Source organism: Homo sapiens, chromosome 5, assembly GCF_000001405.40.
Source record: "Homo sapiens chromosome 5, GRCh38.p14 Primary Assembly".
NCBI lineage: Eukaryota > Metazoa > Chordata > Mammalia > Primates > Hominidae > Homo > Homo sapiens.
In genome coordinates, this window is record NC_000005.10 from 109,778,247 (window position 1) to 109,793,185 (window position 14,939).

Here is a 14,939-nt window from a genome sequence, read left to right on the forward strand (position 1 = left end):
TTTGTTAAATTTATTTATTATTTTTAGTTATTTGTGGATTCTTTATGGATTTCCTATATATGAGTAATGGCATATATATGTCTTCCTTTCCAAAGCTTTAAATCTTTCCATCTACTTTCTTACCATGTACAATGGCTGTGTCCTCTAGTATAATGTTGAGTAGGCGTGGTGAAAGCAGACATAATTTTCTAAGAGAGAAAACATTCGTTAGTCATAATGTTTGCTGTAGAATTTTGTAGATTCCCTTTATCAGATTATGGAATTTTCCTTATATTCCTCATTTACAGAGTGTTTTTTCATGACCAGATACTAAATTTTATTATTTTCTTCTTCTAGGACATTGCTTTGTGTTAGGCCTTTATGTCTTGTGCAATGATTGAACCAGTACCCCAAGATGAAAATTTGGTAGAGTATAGGGTCCACCTTAATGCATTTTCTTTCTCTCCAACATTTTTATCCCTTAAGTTCTGGCTGCTTTAGTTCTTTAATGTCTTCAAAGCTTTTTCTTTCTACAGTTTATCTAGTTATATCTGTTTCTTGTGGGATACTTAAAGTTACTTTGTCTGAACTGGAAGCATAAATTTAATATTTTCTTTTAATGAACTGGAGAACAAAAGTAAATAACTGAGTTCAGATGGCTGAAAAATTGACGTGGAATAGCCAAGACAGTCATTTTGCCATTTGATCATCATTTAACAATTTTTGTAATTTTTCTTATGTGTTGTCCTGATAGAATTCTTACATTTAAGATTAAAGTTGTTGCCTTTTAATGTAAAAACCATGTGAATATTTTTATTTGGTTATTCTTAAAGGTGTCCTAAATATTTACTTTTTATGAGCTACCAAGAGACTTTCTAGAGAAATTTACTTTAAATAATTACTTTAAAAAATACTCTAGCACAGGTACTGAGTTATTTTTCTACCCTTAAAGATTGAATTAAGTTTTTGAGAAAGCCTACTAGGCTACTTATCTAAACTGCTCTGGGACATTGCCAAGAAGGAAGTATTTTTATCTTGGCTCATACCAAAAACTAATTGAAATATTTTCAAAGGGTATACTTTATTGTTAATACTAATTCTGTAGCATGCTATAGATTTCTAAACTTTGAAGTTCAAAATGGTTTTTATTGTCTAAATAAAATCCTTTGTTTTATGTTTGAGGAAAGTGAGACTCAGAAATATTTAGATCGTAGACTATTTTGTCACTCTTATTATTTATACTTTCCTGAGCTCATCTGTATCTGCTGGATATGAAGTTAATGCCATATTTCCTTCTATTCGTGACTCATTTCTTTTATGGTTACACACACACACGCGTGCACACACACACACACACAAACACACACAGTCTTCTTCCTAGTAATGCTTGTGAGTAATAATACTCTTAGTGTTAGCTAAAACATATTGAGTGCGTATTATTTGCTGTAAATTGCTTAAAGTACTTTATTTAACTTATTTAGTTATCTGAACATTTTCTGGTAGGTCCTATGATTGTTCCCATTGTAGATGAGGAAATTGAGGCACAAATAGATTAACTTGCCCAAGATCACTCTCTGTTTGGTGAAGCCAAGATACATTGGCTACACCAAATTGAATACAGTTGAAAATTGCTTATCTTTAATATAAACATAAGGATTTAGAAATAATCATCTATTTTGCTGTAAAAATATATTGCACCACAACTAGATTACAGTCACTTATATTTGCCTTATCAGTATCATTGTTGTAAATGTTCCAGTCGCAATTTTGTCTTTGCAGTGAATAAGTGATAGCTAAATTTATACCATTATTGGCCAGTCATGGTTGTAAGTTTTTTTTTGTTTGTTTTTGAGATGGAGTCTCGCTCTGTCACCCAGGCTGGAATGCAGTGGCGTGATCTCTGCTCACTGCAAGGTCGGCCTCCTGGGTTCACGCCATTCTCCTGCCTCAGCCTCCCGAGTAGCTGGGACTACAGGTGCCTGCCACCACACCCAGCTAATTTTTTTTTGTATTTTTAGTAGAGACGGGGTTTACTGTGTTAGCCAGGATGGTCTCCATCTCCTGACCTCATGATCCACCCGCCTCAGCTTCCCAAAGTGCTAGGATTACAGGCGTGAGCCACCACACCCGGCCAGTTGTAAGCTTTTTTCTTAGAGCCCTATTCACTGTAACGTGGATAGACAGAGAAGTTATGTAATATGCTCAAAACACATGTCAGATAAGTGGTAGAGATGGAATTCAAAGCTATGCTATTGCTACCTTGAATCAAAATGACTTGCAATATCTGTGTGTGTGTGTGTGTGTGTGTGTGTGTGTGTGTGTGTATGTGTGTAGGAAACAACAAAATCCGCATCTTTCTTTTAAAAGGAACACATTCCCTGTTAAATAATCTGTTTATTTTTGACAGGACTGCCTTTTAATATCTGTTTACAAGATTTGGTATCGTGTTTCTTTTTGTCTTTGATTTGTAGAATAGTTTGAACTCATAAAAACGAATTTCTTACTGCTGATTTAAATCATTAGTCAGAAAGACCGGTGTGTTTAAGCAGCCAGACTTGCCATTCTTAGCACTCCTTGGATTTAACTTCTACTCAGTGTTACCTACTGGTAGAGTAAGTTCATTTTTTTAAAATGACCTGCTGTTCTTAAAGTCCCTTCTCCTTCACAAGAACTCAACTGGGGGAAAACGGAGATAGAGGAGGGTATGATATATGAAATACCTTATGGCTAACAGAATTATTCTTCTAGACTTTATGGCTAATAAAACTGTTATTGTAGACTTCTGGAACACTTTAATATGTCTTTTATTTTTGCTGCTGCCCTCATCTTTCATTTATGTGGATTAATCCATGCCCAAATCATTGTACACTTTGAAATTCTAGAGATATGTAGGAGTTTTCATATTCACTGATTTGTAGATCTAAATAGCTCTCCTTTTAACTGCTGAAGTGTATAAGTTTTCCCTTAGTTTAATTTGGGCCTTAATGTAAGTAAAAAAAAAGTCACTATTATTTTCTTCCCTGCTTCTGATTTTTATAAAATCTGAGCTATGTATTCATCTTAACTTGGAAACACATGTTAAATATTTATTATTAACTTTCCCTAACAGTGTAAGAAGTAAATAATTTTAAGATAGAATGAATAATTGAAGTGCATTTTTTTAAAACTAGATACAGTTTGGAACTTTATCAGATTTTTTTGATGCGCTGGATAAAGCAGATGAAACTCAGAGAGACAAGGGCCAATCGATGTTCCCTGTTTTAAGTGGAGATTTTTTCACTTATGCCGATCGAGATGATCATTACTGGAGTGGCTATTTTACATCCAGACCCTTTTACAAACGAATGGACAGAATCATGGAATCTCATTTAAGGTACTTTTACCTTTCTATAGCTACATGTATTTTTTCACTTTATATTATCATAATCTTTTTGTAGAGTTTTACGTAATATACATCATTCATGTAGTACATTATGTAGTGTTAAGCTCTAATTAAGCACTTAGTGTAATTGTGAAATTTTAATGCAATCAGAAATACGTCTCCAAACTACAATCAAATTATTACATGGGTTTTTGTTCTGGAAGAAAAAATAGTTTATTTAAATTAGATTTTTAAGGAGTTGTATTCTACATTTTGTATTTTTCTAATTAATTTACCTGTGTTATTTGCACACCATATTAATATTCAGTGACACCATCATGAGTGTCTGCAGGCTGGTAATCTGATAGGCTTCTCATTGGAAACATAGGTGAGCATCAAAGAAGGAAATAGGGCCTCCCAGCAGCCAAACGTGAGCTTCAAAGTTCACAGTCCAAAACTAATGTATTTTGTATGTGGGAGAACTTTAGACTAGGCTTCATCTCAGTTCTTACATACTTATTTGAAGCACATTTCTATAGGCACAGTCATCTGCATAGAAGAACAACATTTGAAAAAATGATGACTGATGGGTCAGATAGTGATTGAAAATGTAAATGGATACAGAGAAGACAGAAAAGTCTGTAGAAGACATAAAAACACTAAACTGACACTATCCAGGAGAACTTTCAATCACTGATAGAATGTTCTATAGTGATAGGTTCTATTTCTGCACTGTCCAAAATATAGTCATTAGGTACATGTGACTATTGAGCACTTGAAATGTGCCCATTTAATTTTAATTAATTTAAATGTCAATAGCCATGTGTGGCTATGGCTACCATATTGGAGAGCATGGTCCTAAGTAACTAACGGAGGCTGGTTGTTGATAAAGTTAAAACTACTCCAGAGGCTCCCAAAGTTTTCTCTATGTATAGACCAGTAAAGTAATTCATTTTCATGATGAATCTTGATGTTTGAGTTAGATTGTACTTACCGTCTTTTATATACTAGTGGACATTGGTTACATTTTGGAAAGGCTTTTTATTAAAAATTATGAATTTAAGAGTTGTATTTTTATATGGTAGTTTTTTATTGTTAATATTGTGCTGCTATTAAATACTATTTCAAAAGCCTAACCTTTTACTGTTACTCGTAATATGCCAGAAAAATGTCTCATTTTAAAAAATTATTTTCATTATTATAGATACATATTAGTTGTACATATTTATGGAGTACATGTGATATTTTGATATAAGCATACAGTATATAATCAAATCGTAATTTGTATATTCATCATTTATGTGTTTCAAAATAACTAAAAGTAGAATTGGAATGTTTCTTACAAAGAAATAACTGCTTGAGGTAATGGAATATATCTTATTAAATTTAAAATAATGTTTACATATTATAGTGACTATCCATTCTTACCCTACAGAATATCAACCAGTTATCTCTTATACTATTCTAAACTTTTCTGTTATAAAGTGGGTTATATTCTCAATAATGTAGAGATCGTTTTGGACCACTGAATTAGTGATTTTTAAGTGCCAAAAAGAATATTGGTTTATCTTAATTTATTGAACATATTCAAGGCATTGTGGTTACTGCTAGTAATATATTTGGAAAATCCTGCTGCATTAAAACAAACCAAAAAACCATACAATAGTTATGACTTTCCAAATGTATTTATTTATACATAAGTTTGTCTGAAAATAGTAATATTTCATCTCTCTGCTCATTTGCAAAATGTGGATAAAATATAAAAGTATAGGGAAGACAATATTTCCCAAATCTTCTTTTTAACATTTTAGGGTGTCTGGATATGCATATGTACTCCTTTTAAAACCAGGAATATTTGCCATGGATATACGTTAACATAGATACACAATTTAGTTAATTCAAGCTTAGTGATTGTTACTTCATGATTTTTGGAAGGATTAGAATTTAAAAGTGGAGATTGTTTACTCTCCTTTGATTATTTCTACAGTTTAGAGAAATGCATCATTTTACAAACAAAGTATTTCTAGTGTCTCCTCTTTTCTGAATCTTGATAACATTTTCAAGTTGCCTTGATTCTGTCTGCATTGTCCTTAAAACATGTTTCGTGTATAGAACCTTCTTATACTTTTTACTTCATCAAGCCATGTCTCCTTTTAAATAAGTTTTTAAGAAAAACTTATCTTGAGCCATATCCTCTGATGAAAAAACATAAAAGGTGGAAATTATAGCCCCCATGTTCTTCTTAGACTGAAGGTTTTTTCCTTTAAAATATACTACAAAGGACATTTTTTTTTTAAGAGACAGAGTCTTGCTCTGTTGCCCAGGCTGGAGTGTAGTAGTGTGATCCTAGTTCACTGCGGCCTCAAACTCTTGGGCTCAAGTGATCCTCCCACCTCAGCCTCCTGAGTAGTTAGGACTATAGGTGCATGTCACTACACCTGGCTAAGATAGAGTCTCTCTATGTTGTCCAGGCTGGTCTTGAACTCCTGGGTTCAAGTGATTTTCCTGCCTTGGTCTCCCAAGATGCTAGGATTACAGGCATAAGCCACCATGCCCAGCCGACATACTGTTTATCATCTTTCAGTTTGTATTGTTAAATTCTCTGTATTTGTTATATGTTATCATTCAAAACTGAAACTAACCCTTTCCCCTGAACTATTCTTGGGCCATTATTTTCTGCCTCTCCTCTCCTCTGAGTGTCCCGCTCACCGACCATGCCTTTCTTTCTCATTTCTCTTAATGTGTATATGTGAGAGTAAATGATATTCTGGTGATGTTCATGGTCTATGTGTGTGTTGCTCTTGGAGAGAAGAAAGGACAGAGAAATTTATCCAATTTTTCAGATTTTTTTCACTGTGCTATTCATAAATAAGCCTGTCTTGCTGCCAACAGGTTCTGGCTTCTTTTTCAGGATCATCTAGAACAAGGACTCCTGATACCAGTGTAGACATGGTATTCTTTGATGATTGAGAACGTAAATGTGTTATACGGGATACATTGGTTGTTTTATATGAACTATTATTACCAATATCTTTTTCATAAATTGCTTGTACTGCAATTATGGATTAAAAAATTTGTAAAGTATCAATGTCACAAGTTTTAGATTATAAGCTAAAGTGTTTGTTTTAAAATAAAAATATGACTTTTATGCAATTAGGGCTGCTGAAATTCTTTACTATTTCGCCCTGAGACAAGCTCACAAATACAAGATAAATAAATTTCTCTCATCATCACTTTACACGGCACTGACAGAAGCCAGAAGGAATTTGGGACTGTTTCAACATCATGATGCTATCACAGGAACTGCAAAAGACTGGGTGGTTGTGGATTATGGTACCAGGTAATCTAATTATAGAAAAATCATCTTTAAAAAAATCATTAAAATTATGGGTAATAAGATTATATCTTTTGGTGAAGTTGTTAGTGTATATCAAACCACATTAACAATGATATCCCTCATAAGTATTACTGTATCAAAACAGCACTGATATTCAAATATTAAGAAATCTGTTGACAGAGTCCCAGCTGCACCAACTTTTTATTGCAATGCATTTCTGCAAATAGGGTAGTAAAATATTATTACTACTGTTTAAAGCTGATCCTATTTTCTTCTAAATAACAGTGTGGAGACTGGAGTTATCTTCTTGACCAAGGACTTGGCATCAAATAAAACATAGTTATAATGTAGAGAGATAAAGATTCCTACTTCATTGTATGTCAGTTTAATCTCATCCTATTTCATATCCAATTGTTCTTGTATACTTCTTTTTTTTTTTTTAAGAGGCATATTGACATAATAAGCTGAGAAGCATAGCCAGGAAGGAAAAAGACCTATAAACCTTATCATATGTGGATGATATAAGCCATTGGGAATGAGAAAGGATGACCTGGGTGTTGGTATCAAAGCCATCTTTAACTCATTGAAGGGCTCTCAGATGGGCAAGGGAGTAGAAGCTAAGTTATTTCTATATTAAAGACTTTGAAACAATGAGTATAGGCATGGTCTGAGATAACAGAGGACTTGGCAAACAGAGCTTCCTAATAAGGGGGAAGAAATCTTACCTTTTGTAGTAGGGAGTTCTCTATCCTCACGCCAGCCTTTGGATGACCATTCATTCATTAGGATCAGTGCAGGGGGCATTCCTAGATTGGGGAAGGAGTTTTGACTATTTTATTTACTGTAGTTTAGACTATTCTTCCTGATACTGTTTATCAGCAGTGTTGTGCTTTGATAACATTTTAAAGTCATTTAAAATATACTGTGATTTTCTTAAAGAATAGATTTTAAAAGTGAATATCCTTAGTACTACTCCTTGATGAGAAAAGCGTATACAACACATAAAATCAATGTTAAAAAATTGACTCACGACTTATATTACTAATTGTAGTAAATGTTAATTAAATTTTTAGTTACAATATTTTGACTGGCTTTCTAGAAATTGGGGGAAAAAGATATTCTTGGGTTTTCATTAGTTGATTTCAGTCCTTAAAAAATGCATTCAAAGTAGTATCTTGAATATCTTCTCCATTTTTTAATGGCAAATATATATGACACCCACCTGTCGAGGTTGATCTGGGGTTAAAGTAGAAAACCCTCATTAGATGATAAAGATGGTATTTCTCCCACAGAAACCATTTTTGAAAGTAAGGTCAGATCCTCCTTTTTTCCTTCTTACCTGCTCCTGGCCTGCTTGGTTTGTTGAGAGTTTAAAAGTGAGACTGCTTAGAATCAGACCAGGGTAGAGCTCCTAAGAGGACATAGAAAAGTCATTTTCCTACACCGCCCACTTGCTATCTCTGGCTGTCATATCGAAAGAGATTTGCTTATAGGTCATTGAGCTTTGGCTACAGAAGATTTTTTGTATCTTGACCTGTCTGGAAGAGCTATCATTGGTTCCTCCATATGTTTTGTGTTGCTTTTAGCTTATAAAAACTTCCCCGTGTAGAATTGCGTGTTAGAGAAAAAAAGGTAGTAAGTCTCAAACTGTACTTGGCATTTGTAAATTTGCTATGTTAGTACTTCACAGTTCATTGAAAAGTCATAAACAATTACCAAGTCATTAGCACAGACATTTTAAGGAGGAAATTTCAAAACATAAGTTAGAGAATTATTAACAAAGAGGTAGTTAGTATTGGGTGTTCTCTTGAACTTGGACTGATGACTACTATTCATTCAAATTTGGCAGAAATATCACTGTGAACAAGTTTATGAATTAGGGGTGCATTTGGCTGCGAGTAATAGCAACCAGAAACAGAATAAATCCTGTCCTGCTTATTTTTATGTCATATGAAAAAAATCTGTAGACAACTGGTTCTGGTATGGCAGCTCTGCAGTGTCATCAGGCATTCAGGCCCTTCTTTCTCCTCTGCCATAGTAGGGGGAATCTGAGAGCATGCTGTCAACAATAGATCGAATGTGTATATAGTTACAAACTGGAAAGCAAGAATACATCATGGCATATTTGGAGATTAATTCTAATCATGGCATGAAAAAAATGAATTAGATTGGGACAATGTTTGTAATAGTCAGCTTAAAAGTATTAATAGATAATGTGGCTTATGTAGAAGGGAAGAAGAAATGGTAATGAGGTCATTTAGAGAAATGTTTTAGAATTCCGCTAATTATTCCTAACTTGTAATTAAGGTAGGTGGGAGAAAACGGAACACAGGGTGAGCGTGAGGGTCCTAAAATGTAGACAAACTATATAGTGGCAGACATGCTAACATCTCCTTAATACAACAACCATAACAGCAAACTAAGAAACTGTGATTCCCAAGTGATTTTTCCCGAACCGTATTCCGTATTAATAGGATAAGTGTATGTTTGGAAATTAGAGGCCCTGAAAAAAATCCTGTATTAATGAAATGTTGAAACGTTTAGAATTTTGTTTTACCCAATGTTTCCCAAATGTACTGTGTTTCATTTTGTTTTGTTTTAAGCAAAGCAGCTCTATACATCCTGAGAAAACATTTGGGGAGTGATATACTGTAGTCTTTAGTACTCATCTTATGAGAAGGCTGCATGTGTGCCTTTAGGATGCAGACATTGATCCTGGCTTTCACTCAGTTTAATTAGGACTCTTTAATACATCTGGTTTTAGGTGGTGGAGAACATGACTTTCACTCTGCAGATTCAGGCTGCCTAATAAAGATAGCCCTGTAGACAATAGAAAGGAACTTAGATTGAGGGTCTTGCTGTCATAACTGAACCATATTCGTATGGTGTTTTAGTATGGTGAAAACACTTAATGCTGTCTAGGAAAACATTTGAATATGTTGGGAAGTTTAGTTAGATTATGGCATGAACTCAAATCCATAAGATTTTAGCATTAAAATTATAGATTTGCCATGTAAATGTATTTAATTAATAACATTGATCATGATCACTTACATCTCTGAAGGAAATATTAATGCTCTGCAAAAAAGAAGTTAACTTCTTTTATAGGTTTTCTTGTTGTTGTTGCATGACAACAAAAATGTCTTCAAGGCATAGATCCAAAGTTGCTTTCTGTATTGGAAAAAATAATATAATTGAAAACGTGATTAGCGAGGAGTTTCTACGTACTTCTCCAATATGAATTTGCCTATGGATGCCTGGTCTGTAGAGCCTTCAAGAAACGTAACTGAATTAGGAAAAAAAAAAAAAAATCTTCAAGCAAGTTCTTTTTCCATGAGTAATGCTTCAGCAGTAGCGGATGTATTTCAGAATTGGTCTGGAATCAGTAGACTTTTGATTCCTTAGACATAAAAATACAATTTGAATATAGTTAGTAATTTCAGTGACCAAAAAATTTAACAGGGATAAAGACAATTTCATTATTCACATCTGTCAAAAACTCTTGTTCTGGTTCTCTTGAACAAGAACATGAAACTAAATTAAACAAAACATCTATTTTAATTCTTGGGGTATGACTTGTATACGAATTGAATTTTCTTGTGAGCTGAATTATCTCATGTTTTTATTCATTGTTAAAACCCTTGTTAGAGCTTTTTCTAAAGTAGCAAATCATTGTTTTTTTGATAGAATGCTTCAAAGTTATTGGGGTGATCCTACTGGATATTATTATTTGGTGCGATATTCATAGAAAGTATACATAGTTTGATTATGTTTATGTGTTTCAGGTGTGTCCAGAAAGCTTTCGGTTTTAAATGGATTCTTGTCAGTTATATCTTCTGATGTACTTAGTTCTAGGGGAAAAAAGAGCAGGTTTGTCATAGATTCATTATAGGTTTCACTTTGAATACAAGATGAAGATACTGGTGGTTTGGCTATTAGTAATGAAACTGAAAATATTGTATGCAGATTTTTAAATTGTTTCTCAGACTAATAAAATTTTTGATTTACAGACTTTTTCATTCGTTAATGGTTTTGGAGAAGATAATTGGAAATTCTGCATTTCTTCTTATTTTGAAGGACAAACTCACATACGACTCTTACTCTCCTGATACCTTCCTGGAGATGGTTAGTAATTTCATCTATGGTCATCATAAAAATGTGTAATTCCATTGTTCTTGCATTAGCAAAGAGGATGAGAAGCTTAATGAAAAAAGACATTGAAATATAATTTTTTGTACATTATTTGAAAGAATTTTTATCACTTAATATAAATTACCTGTATGTTCATCTTTTCTATAAATATTTCAAAGTATGTGAAATATGTAGGGTTTTAGAATACTATTAAGATGTTAGTAAGGCAACTGGGGCATTATAACTAGTTGTTTTGCTTGGCTTTAATTAGAAACCCCTTGATATTTAACTTTTTATAAGTCCTTAATCTGTTCCTCCTAAACTTGAATTTGAATGGTCTTCTGGTTTCAGGATGAGTCCATGGAGTGTTAAGTAAAATTAAAAAATTACTGTTCATTTTTATAGGATTTGAAACAAAAATCACAAGATTCTCTGCCACAAAAAAATATAATAAGGCTGAGTGCGGAGCCAAGGTAAATTCATAATTTCTTACAAATGTTTACCACTTTCTGGCTTAATAGTTTTTGGTTTTATGGTTCTGGTTTTTAGTTAGCGTATATTTTGAGGCAATCAATTTATTAATTAAAAAACTCCTAAAAAATGGATTTTCTTTCATGACTGTGTTATGCTCAGTGCCAATAGCTAACACAGTGCTTAGTATATTGACTGCTGAATAAATTATTATAACAATATTTCTCACAGATATAAGGTATAGCATGATAAATATATAGCTTATAAAACATTTTCTTATCTCTATAAAATTTTCAGATTATATCCTTTCTTGATTAACCTTTCATTTAACTACCTTGTTTTCATTAATCCCTGATCCTATTTTTATATGAAAGAAGAAACTTTATTATTATTGGAAGATCAAGGTTTCTACTGTAAATTGTTTATTAGATAACTGTCATTTTGCTGGTGAAACAGCCTTGTTTTAGCACTATTGATTTATGCTAAAGTAAATGGGAAGGGTGTTCAGTGACCTTAAACCAGGGCATTTAATTGGTGGCTACCTAATAATTATAAAGAAATGCATTATGTTTTATTGGTATTTCTTTAAACAGCAAGGTATCTGTTTTTAATAACCAAATATTTGTTGGTCATTTCCTAGTTGACCCAGGCACACAGTGGTTATTTTTTGTAATATAACCTTTAACTGTCAGAATCAAGATATTTAGTACCTCCTCTTGCCAATTATAGGATAAAACAATAATTTCAAAGAGTAATTCATTATTTCAACTAAATATATTTTATTAAAATTATTTAAAAATAAATGGAATGAATGTAAAAAGAATTTATAGTTGCTAGTAAAGTTGAGACTTTTTGTTAAGCATAGACTAAAGTCTTAGTTGTCTAAATTTCTTTAGTAAGTAGAGACATAAGGTGTATACAGCTTATTCCTTAGAACGAGATAATAAGTTTTTTTATTTTAGTAATACTAATGTTCTCTGTAACACGGCAGAAGCCTTAGGAGCTTTCAGATTGCCAGGTCATAGTTAGGATGAAAGGATAATGACACTGAAAGAAATATTTCTTATAAAATTACAAAATGTTTTCTTTGTCTTAAAATAAGTTATGTTTTGATGCATTTGGGGTTATATGCCTGTTCCTTAAATATTGTGTTCCTAGTAAACTCTGGCATTAGTAAATCTATTTGGCTTTAGGCATAGTTCTCTCATCTATTAACTTTTCTTTCTTTTTATATTTTGGTGGAGGAAGATCTTTGTTTTTGCTGGTTATAAGAATAATATATGCTGATATAAGTGATTTGTGCCCCATCTCTGGGTGCTCTTATGCTGGGTGCAGTGAGGCAGGGCTGGAACCATAATAGGTCAGAAGAAAAGATGTTCCCTTTAGTTTATCTCCTTCCTTCACTGTCTTTGCCTTAGCAAACAATAATTGATAATTTTGCCTTTCTAATGCCAGAAGAAGAAAGTTAGGAAATGTAGTATATTAATGAAAGAGAAAAATATTTTTAAGCTTTCATATTGAGGAGTTTTAACTACAGGTAAACATAAATGGAATTTCGGGGGCTATTAGTAAAATGATTGCTTTTTGATATTTCTTTTTAAATAGTTTTTATTTAAATAGTATAGGGTTTATCTTCCTATTACTTCTTTACAGTTCTTTTTTTATCAAATATTGACTTCCTATTTCTGTAGGTTGGTAAATTAGGAATACTTCTGATTGGCAGATTCTTATTTGTTTTTATGCTTATTATCCATTTTATAGGTTAGGGCTTCTTAGATTTTAGGTTTTAAAATCTCTATTTTACTTGTTAGCTGCAAATTATTTTAGTTACTGATCTGTCAGTAAAAATAGATGAACAATGAAGGAATGATAGTGGCCTTTAAAATGGAAGAATTTGATTGTTTTATTTAGCAGGTACTGAAAGTAAAATAATTGCCCTTTTCAGTTTTTAAATTGGAAGCCTTAGAGGTGTGGCTGTGAGTCTTTGTCATATTCTTCATGAGTCTTCTTTAATGTTGTAAGGGTTGGCTTTTTTTTTAGTTATAAACACAGTTCCTGTTTGAGTAACAAATTATCTCTCTAAATAAACCATGCATTCTCGATGGGGGAGATATTTTTTCCAAGAGAGTGAAAATTGGTTTTTGGGGATTTGAAGAAAATCTTACTCTTTTTAATATATAAAGCACAGATATAGTACGTAACAGGTAAACAGTTTGTGTGTGGCATTAAAATTGTATGTGGGTGATTAGTAAATGTCTAAAAAGAGTCCTTAGGGAGGTGATAATGTAAAAAAGATTGAGAAATACTAACTTAAACCCATAGAATATAAATAATACACGTAAATTTGATCATGCTGTTGGCAATATTAGTTATAGCAATAAACCTAACATAACTTTGTAAGTATTTAAAAAGTAGTCCAAGATCTGTTTAAAGTGACATTAGTACATGTTGATATGCCTAATTTAGTTCACACAGTTATGTGAGCTATATCATGTGTGGATTCGTAGTTTTTGTGTAGAAAACAGATACTTCAGAATATCAACTAAGATATAAAAAGAAAAGCCCTCCCATAACGCATTGCCATTGGCTTGTTTAATGGTTCTCCCTGGATGACCTCCCAGCACCAATAATTTAAGTTCCTCTGATTTTCTCCATACATGCTTTCCTTTTGGATGCCAGTCTTGATTAAAAGTATTGTTATCTTTTTAGTTATCTAGGTTCTGAAATCCCAGAACCTACTTTGACCTCTACCTTTTATTATTCCTTAAATTTCATCACTTGGAGAGTCTTTTTTTTCTCATCTGTGAAATGCATCTTCTCTTTTCCTGTTACTTTTTGGTTCTAAGCCATACTTCGTGCCTGAATTACTTCAACAGCTTCTTACCCTTTTGTCTTCAATTTCCTATGCCCCTTATTTATTACATGAAGTTATCAGAGGAATCTAGCCAAAAACAGAGCTCTGAGAAAGTCACTTCTAAATTCAGCATTCTCTAGGTACTTCTTCTTACCTATTGAGGAAAGTCTGACCTGATGGTCAAATGTTTTAGTAGACTATTGCCTAACAAACTAATCTAAAACTTAATGTCTTAAATACAATTTATTATATTTCCCACGTTTTTGTAGAACTGCTGGTCAGTTCTTGCTTGGGGTCTCTCATACCATTGCAGGCAATTGGAGATTGGGACTGGAGTTCCCCAAAGATTTGACTGGGCTCAGTGTGCAGGAGGGCTCATATACATTGCTGAAAGTTAGTGCTCCCTGTTGGCTGAGGGTTCAGTTGGAGCTGTTAGCTGCCAGTACTTACACATGGCCTCTCCATATGACTTGGGCTTCTCTAACCATAGTGGCTGGTTCCAAGGGGGAGTGTTTTAAGATTGAAAGTCTCAAAAGTGAGTTTTCTGGGTAGAAACAGCAAGACTTCTTAAGACCTAGCTTTGGAAGTCCTAGAAGGCCATTTTCATTACATTCTATTGGTCAAGGAAGTCATTAAGGTTAGCCAAGATTCAAGGGGAGGGAATTACTCTCCATTTCCTGATGTGAGGAGCATGTATAGGAAGCAGTGGGAATGATGGTAGTCATCTTCGGAGACTAGCTATCACAGTTCACCTATAGGCTACCTCAGTTCACATACCTTTCATGTACGGAGTAACCTCACCCACC

The 14,939-nt window shown here is 33.2% G+C and overlaps 1 protein-coding gene across 5 annotated transcripts in view; it reads left to right on the forward strand.

The window, feature by feature from the left end:
• Positions 1 to 14,939, forward strand: part of MAN2A1 (mannosidase alpha class 2A member 1) — a 179,699-nt gene that overhangs the window by 88,320 nt on the left and 76,440 nt on the right. For all 5 annotated transcript variants that reach the window (XR_007058604.1, NM_002372.4, XM_011543395.4 and 2 more), the window contains 4 exons: positions 3,150 to 3,352; positions 6,498 to 6,680; positions 10,688 to 10,802; positions 11,214 to 11,281. Coding sequence is in view for 4 of the 5 variants with exons in the window: in NM_002372.4 (NP_002363.2) it covers positions 3,150 to 3,352; positions 6,498 to 6,680; positions 10,688 to 10,802; positions 11,214 to 11,281 (569 nt within the window). In the remaining variant the exon portion in view is untranslated. The remainder of the gene's footprint in view (positions 1 to 3,149; positions 3,353 to 6,497; positions 6,681 to 10,687; positions 10,803 to 11,213; positions 11,282 to 14,939) is intronic.